Here is a 9,607-nt window from a genome sequence, read left to right on the forward strand (position 1 = left end):
ACCCTCCTAGTGTCTTAATAATACACTACTCTATAGAGCAGGCTTCTGTTTTGGTTCCTGATAGTGATCTTTTGTGTCTTTTCTCTTTGCCTTAATTAGTTTCACTAGTGGTTTATTAAGTATATTAATATTTATAAACCAACTTTTTTTTTTTTTTGGGAAGGAGTCTCACTCTTGTCACCCAGGCTGGAGTGCAATGGCTCGATCTCAGCTCACTGCAACCTCCACCTCCCAGGTTCAAGTGATTCTCCTGCCTCAGCTTCCTGAGTAACTGGGATTACAGGCACCCACCACCATGCCTGGCTAATTTTTGTATTTTTAGTAGAGACGGGGTTTCACCATGTTGGCCAGGCTGGTCTTGAATTCCTGACCTCAGGTGATCCCCCCGCCTCTGCCTCCCAAAGTGCTGGGATTACAAGTGTGAGCCACCATGCCCGGCTGGAAGTTGCCTTCTTTTTTTTATTATTTTTAATTTTTTTGAGACAGAGTTTCGCTCTTGTTATCCAGGCTGGAGTGCAATGGCACGACCTTGGCTCACCGCAACCTCCGCCTCCCGGGTTCAAGCGATTCTCCTGCCTCAGCCCCCCGAGTAGCTGGGATTACAGGCATGTGCCACCACGCTCGGCTAATTTTGTATTTTTAGTAGAGATGGGGTTTCTCCATGTTGGTCAGGCTGGTCTCGAACTCCCGACCTCAGGTGACCTGCCTTCCTCGGCCTCCCAAAGTGCTGGGATTACAGGTGTGAGCCATCGCGCCTGGCCAGTCCTCTTTTTATATTTTACTCAAGTTTTTTTTGTGTTTGCGGTTCAGTTTTAAAGTTTATTAAATGCTTTAAAAAACTTTTCAGCTAAATGATCTTACTATTTTCTCCTGTATTTTTCTGCTAATGGGATGACTTACACGATTCATTTTGAATGTTAAGGACCTTGCATTTTGGTGTATATTCCGTTTAGTATTGATCTACTGTATTTTCATAGGTGACTTCATTCATATAATATTTTGCTTAGAATATTTGTAGCTCTGTTTTATTTATTTATTTTTGAGACAGAGTCTCGCTCTGTCGCCCAGGCTGGAGTGCAGTGGTGCGATCTGGGCCCACTGCAAGCTCCACCTCCTGGGTTCACGCCATTCTCCTGCCTCAGCCTCCCAAGTAGCTGGGACTACAGGCGCCCGCCACCATGCCTGGCTAAGTTTTTTTTTTTGTATTTTTAGTAGAGACAGGTTTTCACGTGTTAACCAGGATGGTCTCGATCTCCTGACCTCGTGATCCGCCCACCTCGGCCTCCCAAAGTGCTGGAATTACAGGCATGAGCCACCACGCCCGGCCCCAGCTCTCTTTATTAAAAAGGAGATACATACTGTTTATGAAAGAGGTGACATAATTTTGTTTATTTGTGTCCCATAATGTGTCCTGGTCCAATTGTGTCCTCAATGTAATGCCAGCTACACAAAAAATTTTTTAAATATTATCTTTATTTTCATTTTAGTGTTTTTCTTTGTATGGACTATTCTATAATTATGAGCTGGGAATTTTTCATTGTTCAGTTGTTTTTCTGATTTTTGGTAGACTGGACATTTTCCTGTGTTTCCTGACCATTTGCATCTCCTCTCCTGCTCTGTGCACTATCACCCTGCTCCAGCTGCTTCCCGGAGCCTCCCTCCTTCCTCTCCACCTGCCCGCGTCCTCCTTGTCCTTCAGTTTCTTCCTAAGGGCCCATGGGCTTTCTTTGGCTTTTACGTTCCTCTCACTCCACCTTTGACAGTTGCTGGGCTTCCCATCCCCTGGGAGGTTTCAGAGGATGGGGAAGACAGAGGAGTGCAGTTGCCATGCAGTGCAATATGGGCCATAATGTTCATCCTCCACGGCCTGTATTGAGGACTTGCTGTGTGCCAAGAATCTGCTCTAAGAATGTAACTGTGCTCCCTCACTTCATGCTCATAACCACCTGTGAGATGGGCAATGTTCTCATCCACTTTTACACAGAGAACACAGAGGCACAGAGGAGTTTCATAAATTGCTACCAAGGCCTTCCGCTGGTGTGCAGCAGGGTCAAACCCAGGCTGTCTGGCCCTGGGGTTCAGCCTCTCAAGTGCTCTGCTAGATGTTGGACAGGACAAACGAGACACAGAGAATGAACACCACCTGACTTGGGCTGGGGAAGTCAGGGATGGCTTCCTGGAGGAGGTGACACCTCAGTGGAACCTTGAAGGAGGAGCAGGAGGAGCTGACCAGGCAATGAATAAGTATGTCCAGGAAAAAGGAAAGGCCTGAGTGATGCTGGGAGGCTGGAGAGCTGGCCTTGGGTGTGTGGCGGAGGGGGGGCAGGAGATCAGGACCAAGGGTTTGACCAAGGCCAGATCTTGAAGACTCGGGCCATCCCATAGTTGATACCTTATCCCAGGGCCAGGCAGGCCTTCCACTGCTCTGTGCGCACTGGTGGGCAGTGCCTCATGGGATGCTAGGAGCCTAGACCCCAGCCACCCACCTGGGCTCCTGAGACCCGAGGTGCAGGCACGGGGCTGGGAGGGGTTGCAGCTGATTTACATTCAACAGATTGAGGGGAAAACTGCAGGTGCCTCGCTGTGCAGATGGAACCCACCGCCAGATGGACCCCGGAGACAGCCTAGATTCACAGCCTTTCCCTGCTGCTCTGTCCCCACACCCCAGGCGGGGAGCAAATCTTTTCTCTGATCATCTTTTGTGCTCACCACCCATATCCCAGACATGTACCCGACCAGGGGCTCAAATACATACAGTTTCTGAGCGAGCTGGATAAGGCAGTGACCAGAGGCTGCCTCGACACAGGATGAAATTGCCCAGTGCTCTGGCACCACGAGTCAGAACCCAGCCAGAACTGTGACCTGGCAGTGGCAGAAGCTGTCTGGTGCTGCCAAATCAGCCCTGGCCAGTTGTTCATTGACCCCCTCTGGGACCTTGGCTGAGCCACTTCCCCTCAGCTGTAAAATGAAGAAGACTGTCTTTCCTATTAGATATCCCTCAAAAACACAAAAGTGCTTTGAACCTGCCAGACTCCCTCTTGAAGAGTCACAAGAAAAGGCTCTGAGAAGTCCTGCAGTTAAAAAAATTTTTTGACTTTCTTTAACCCAGCATTTTTCAAGCTAATTGACCACAGAGCTCTTTCTTGGTGCAACACCTGTTAACCGGCCAAGTGTGTGAGGAGGCACAAGTAGAGAGCTCTGAGAATCACCCTCCTTGGCTGCTCTCTGGTCTCAGGGTGCAGGAAAGAGTCTCCGTGCTACATCCCAGTCTGCGGTAGTCCAGGGTGTGAGCCCAGCCCACAGAGCTAGTGTCAGAGAGGAATTCCCTTTCTTCCCTTTCTGTTAATGGAGCTTCTCCCTCAAGCTTCTACTCCACCTGGCTGGTGTCAGTCTTAGGGTTTTCATGCTCCTCTTTGGGCTTGATGGGGGTTCTGGGATTTTATGTAGGTTGAGATAGCAGTAGAGGAGGAAGGGCATGGACAGCTTCTCTGATCAGTTGGGCATCTGCCATCAGGTCAGTCGGGCATTATCTCCCCCTCAGGTCCGGTGGCTTTGGTGGCTTCCAGGCCATGAATGGGCCCTGGAGCCTCCCCAAGGCTGCCCTTGTCACATAGGATCCACTGCCGGACTTTACTCAGCCACTGCTTCACACTATGGCAGGGTGGGTGGTAGCTCCCTCCTTCTCCACTCCCCAGCCCAAACTGGGGGAGAATTAGGAGTCTGTTTTTAATTTTGTTTGATCCTTTGATTTTAGATTTGCTTTTGAATAGATAATATAGTCAGATGATTTGAAACTCAGAATGTATTGAAAGATTATTAATAAAGTCTTTTTTCCCTCTTTGTCCACCAACTGCTCCCTTCTCGCCTCCCCTCGAGTAAGCAGTTTTCTTAAGATGTAATTTCCATGCCATAAAGTTCACCTGTGTAAAGTGTACAAGTCTGTTTTTTAGTGTATTTACACAGTTATGCAACAATCACCCTAACTAATTTTAGAACATATTTTTAGAACTAATTTAGAACTAATTTTGATCACCCCAAAAAGAAACCTTGTCAATCTTCATTCCTCCCCTACCCTAGGCTACCACTAATTTATTATCTGTCTCTATAGATTTGCCTGTTTTGGACATTTTCCATAAATGGAATCATACAATATGTGATGTATTGTGACTAGCTTCTTCCACTTGGCATAATGTTTTCAAGGGCTGTCCATGTTGTAGCAGGTATCAGTACTTGCTTCAGTTTTGTGGCTAAGTAACATTCCACTTTATGGATATGTCATATGGCTTTTCCAGTCATCGGTGGATGGACATTTGGGTTGTTTCTACTTTTTTGGTCACTGTGATTGTTAATAATGCCTCCATGAACTTTTGGGTTCAAGTTTTGGGTGAACATGTTTCATTTCTCTTGAGTAGATGGATACCTAGAAGTGGAATTACTGGGTCATATGATAATTCTACATTTAGCATTTTAAGGACCTGCCAAACTGCTTTCCAGAGCAGCTGCACTATTTTATAATTTACTTCGTGCACGAGGGTTCCGATTTCTCCACATCTTCACTGACACTTGTTATTGACCATCTTTCTCACTCTAGCCTTCCCAGGGGGTATGAGGTGGTATCTCAGTGTGGTTTGGGTTTGCATTTCCCTAGTGACAAATGATGTTGAGCATCTTTTCATGTGCTTGTTGTCCAGTCATATGTCTTTTATGGTAAAATGTCTCTTGAAATTTGTCTTTTCGTTATTCTGTTATAAGCATTCTTTATATTAATATATTCTGGATACTAATATATTCTGGATACTCTTACTTAGCAATGAAGACTGTTTGCGGTATGGGTCCAACCTGCGTTCCAGTTGGAATGTCCTAGTCACCTATGCATCCACCCAACAAATACTGCCAGAGAGCCTACCATGCGTATATATGGCAGAGTCCCTGGCCTCAGGAAGCCCACGGTCTAGTCCAGACACACAACACCACCCACGTTCTTTGAACTTCCACTTCTCTCTAGATTTCTTGAGCCAACTAACAACTCTCAAGTACTTTGCCTATTCAGTATTGTTTTTTACAGCCCTTAATTTCATTTTGCACACTACTTACTGTTGAGTTTTAATATTTGCAAATATTTGCTTCTATTCTGTGACTTGTCTTTTTACTCTCTCAGTAGTATCCTTTGGTCCTATTAAAATTAAAACAAGTTATAATTTTCATGAAGTTCAATTTATCTAATTTTTTTCTTTCATTGTCTGTGCCTTTGTTGCCATATCCAAAGTATCATTTCCAAATTCAGTTGATGGAGATTTTTCTCCTGTGTTTTCTTTTAAAACATTTATAGTTTTAGCCTGTAGCCCATTTTGAGTTAATTTTTGTATATGGTGTCAGATAAGGATTCAGCTTCATTCACGCACATGGATAGCCAGTTTTTCCAGCGTAATTTGTTGAAGAGACTGTCCTTTTCCCCATTGAGTGGAATTGTTAGTGTTTTTTACATAGAAGATTATGTTGTCTGTGAACAGAGATATTCTTATGCTCTCCTTTCCAATGTTTATATCTTTATTTCTTTTTCTTGCATAAGTGCTCTGGCTATGTTGAAGAGAAGTGACATGTGTGCATCCTGATCTTGTTCCTGATCTTAGGGGAAAGCTTTCACTCTTTCACCACTGAGAATGTTGTTAGCTGTGGGATTCTCAAATATGGCCTTTATCATGATAGGGAAGTTACTTTCTACCCTAGTTTCTTGTGTTTTTATCATGAAAAAGTATTGGATTTTTTAAATTGTTTTTTCTGCATCAACTGAGATGAACATAGTTTTTTCTGTAATTTTTTTCCTTTTTTTTTTGAGATGGAGTCTCACTCTGTCACCCAGGCTGGAGTGCAGTGGTGCAATCTCGGCTCACTGCAACCTCTGCCTCCTGGGTTTGAGCGATTCTCCTGCCTCAGCCTCCCAGGTAGCTGGGACTACAGGCACCCGCCACCACACCCGGCTAATTTTTTGTATTTTTAGTGGAGATGGGGTTTCACCATGTTAGCCAGGATGGTCTTGATCTCCTGACCTCATGATCCACCCGCCTCAGCCTCCCAAAGTGCTGGGATTACAGGCATGAGCCACCATGCCTGGCCTTTTAATTTTTTTAATGTGGTGCATTTTACTGATTGTTTTTTTTATGTTGAACCATCTTTGCACTCCAGGAATAAATTCCACTTGGTTATGGTGAATAATTTCTTTGATATGCTGTTGGGTTCACTTTGCTAATATTTTATTGAGAATTTTTGCATCTAAATACTTAAGGCATATTGGTCTGTAATTTTCTTTTTTGTGATGGCTTCATTGGGCTTTGGTATCAGTGTAATGCTGACTTTATAGAATGAGTTAGGAAGTGTTCCCTCCTCTTTGATTTTTGGGAAGAGTTTGAGAAGAATTAGAGTTGATTCTTTAAATGTTTTGGTGGGGTTCACTAGTAAAGCAATCTGGTCTTGTGCTTGTCATTGTTTTTTTTTTTTTTTTTTTTTTTGACAAAGTTTTGCTCTTGTTGCCCAGGGTGGAGTCCAATGGTACAATCTCGGCTCACTGCAACCTCTGCCTCCCGGGTTCAAGCGATTCTCATGCCTCAACCTCTTGAGTAGCTGGGATTACAGGCATGTGCCACCACACCTGGCTAATTTTTGTATTTTTAGTAGAGACAGGGTTTCTCCATGTTGGTCAGGCTGGTCTTGAACTCCCGACCTCAAGTGATCTGCCCGCCTCGGCCTCCCAAAGTGCTAGGATTAAAGGTGTGAGCCACCACACCCGGCCAGTAGGTTTCTTATTACTGATTCAGTCTCCTCACTTCCTCACCAGTTGTAGGTCTATTCAGATTTTCTGTTTCTTAATGTGTCAGTTTTGGTAGATTGTGTGTTTCTAGGAATATGCCCATTTTATCCAGGTTATAAAATTTATTGGTATACTGCTGTTCATAGTATTCTCTTATAATCTTTTTTATTTTCATAAAATAAGTAATACTGTTTCCAATTTCACTTCTGATTTTAATAATTTGAGTCTTCTCTCTTTTTCTTAGTAAATTTCCTTTCTGATTTTGATAGTTTGAGTTTTCTCTTTTTCTTAACAAATTTCATTTCTGATTTTGATAATTTGAGTCTTTTTATTAGTCTAGCTAATGTGTTGCTAATTTTGTTGATCTTTTAAAGAGCTAGCTTTTGGTTTTGTTGATTTTCTCTATTGTTTTTCCATCTGTATGTTGTTTATCTCTGCTGTAATCATTATTTCCATCTGCTAGCTTTGGGTTTGGTTTGCTCTTCCTTTTCTATTTCCTCAAGGTGTATAATTAGGTTATGATCTGGTTATGTTTCTTCTTTTTCAGTGTATGCGTTTACATAAACTTCCCTCTTCACATTGTTTTATTGTATCCCATAACTTTTGGCATGTTGCCTTTTCATTTTCCTTTGTCTCAAGATATTTTCAAATTTCCCTTGTCATTTCTTCTTTGACCAGTTGAGAAAGAGTGTGTTTAATTTCCACATGTGTGAATTTTCCAGTTCTCCTTCTGTTATTGATTTGTAGTTTTATAACATTGTGATCAGAAAAGATACTTTGAATTATTTTAAATTTTTAAGAATGTGTTAAGGTTTGTTTTGTGGCCTAACATGTGGTCTATCCTGGAGAACGTACCATGTGCACTTGAGAGGAATGTGTATTCTCCTGTTGTGGGGTGGAGTGTTGTGTATGTGTCTGTTGTGTCCAGTTGGTTTGTAGTGTTGTTCAAGTCCTGTATTTTCTTATTGATCTGTCTGGTTGTTCTATTATTGAAAGTGAAGTATTGAAATGTCCTAGTATTAGTGTAAGAGTATTTCTCCCTTTCATTCTGTCAATTTTTAAAAATATACTTTGGGATCCTGCTATTAGGTTTATATAAATTTATAATTGTTATATCTTCTTGCTGCGTTCCTTTTTATTTTTATTTATTTATTTTAGATGGAGTTTCACTCTTGTTGCCCAGGCTGGAGTGCAATGGCTCACTGCAGCCTCCACCTCCAGGGTGCAAGCGATACTCCTGCCTCAGCCTCCCAAGTAGCTGGGGTTACAGGCGCCTGGTACCACACCTGGCTAATTTTTTGTTTTTTGTTTTTTAAGACAGAGTCTCACTCTGTCACCAGGCTGGAGTACAGTGGCGCAATCTCGGCTCACTGCAACTTCTGACTCCCTGGTTCAAGTGATTCTCCTGCCTCAGCCTCCCAAGTAGCTGGGATTATAGGCACATGCCACCACGCCCAGCTAATTTTTGTATTTTTGATAGAGACAGGGTTTCACCCTGTTGGCCAGGATGGTCTCGATCTCCTGACCAAGTGATCCACCTGCCTCGGCCTCCTAAAGTGCTGGGATTACAGGCGTGAGACACCGTGCCTGGCCAATTTTTTGTATTTTTTAGTAGAGACGGAGTTTTCACCATGTTGACCAGGCTGGTGTCGAACTCCTGACCTCAGGTGATCCACTCACCTCGGCCTCCCAAAGGGCTGGGTTTACAGTCCTGAGCCACCTGCCTGGCTTCCCTTTGTTAATATATACCTTAACAATGTATATTTTCTCCCATTCTATAGGTTGTCTGTTTACTCTGTTGATAGTTTCTTCTGAAGACAGTGGAATACTATGCAGCAACTAAAGTAGCCACCTAGCAGGATGTGTACCAGTATGGATACATTTTGAAAACACAGCTAAAAGCAAGGTGCAAGGGCATAATAAGCATAGATGGTGAGGGATAGAGCATATTACCATGTTACAAACCCGACACTCTAAAAGCACAATATAGTATATATAACATTGTGTAAAACACTCAAAACACCCAGAACAATACTAGGCATTATCATGGATACATACATATATAGTAAAAGTGAAAAACCATTCAAGGGATGACCACATAGCAATTTTAGGATAATGCTTATTACTCTCTGAGGTGGGAGGGTACATTGAAGCTTTAAAAAATTCTTCCTAGAATAAAAAGATTTTGCAAATGTGGCAAAATTTAACTATTGTTAAGTCTGAGTACCTGTTTATCATTATTCTTGGTAGTTTCCTGTATATTTAGAATATTAACAATCAAAAATTGAACAGGTGGAAGGACTGTACTGTGCCACTTTTCTGCTTCTGGTATGTGTATGTTTCAGTGCTCTGTGCCTTCCACTGTGGTTCTCTATCAGGTTCATAGTGTATTTCTCTAAAGAAACATTGTAACTTACTGCTAAGTATCTTATGGCTAAGGAGATTGAAGATCAGCCTTGCTTCAGGGGCGTTGTTCACAGCTCAGCAGCAGAGGGCGCCACCCCATAGCTGATGTGCGGTGGGGCGGCCACACCAGGCAGCCCTCTTGGTACAGGGCCAGTGCCTCCCAGGGAAGCACTGCTCCCCCAGCTGCAGGAAAGAGGAATATTTAAATGCGTGCAGATTTCCCTTTCGCTTGTAGGAAGGGGTACAGAATCCAGCCATTTGGAAGCATACATCATGTTTCTCTGACTGTTCGTGGCCTCGGCTGTTTCTGAGGCTAATAATGCAAGAAACAGCACATGCCAAAGGCGTCTTTGCCACTGTGTCCATGAGCCTGCTGCTGACTTGCCAGGGGTTTTT

At 43.2% G+C, this 9,607-nt stretch overlaps 1 annotated feature.

The window, feature by feature from the left end:
• Positions 9,183-9,477: an enhancer, noted in NCBI's record as "tiled region #5503; HepG2 Activating non-DNase unmatched - State 4:PromP, and K562 Activating DNase matched - State 12:CtcfO". NCBI's record gives its function as "activates a minimal TATA promoter and a strong SV40 promoter by Sharpr-MPRA in HepG2 and K562 cells {active_cell/tissue: HepG2 | K562}" and the evidence as "EXISTENCE:reporter gene assay evidence [ECO:0000049][PMID:27701403]".

Source organism: Homo sapiens, chromosome 17, assembly GCF_000001405.40.
Source record: "Homo sapiens chromosome 17, GRCh38.p14 Primary Assembly".
Taxonomy (NCBI): Eukaryota; Metazoa; Chordata; class Mammalia; order Primates; family Hominidae; genus Homo; species Homo sapiens.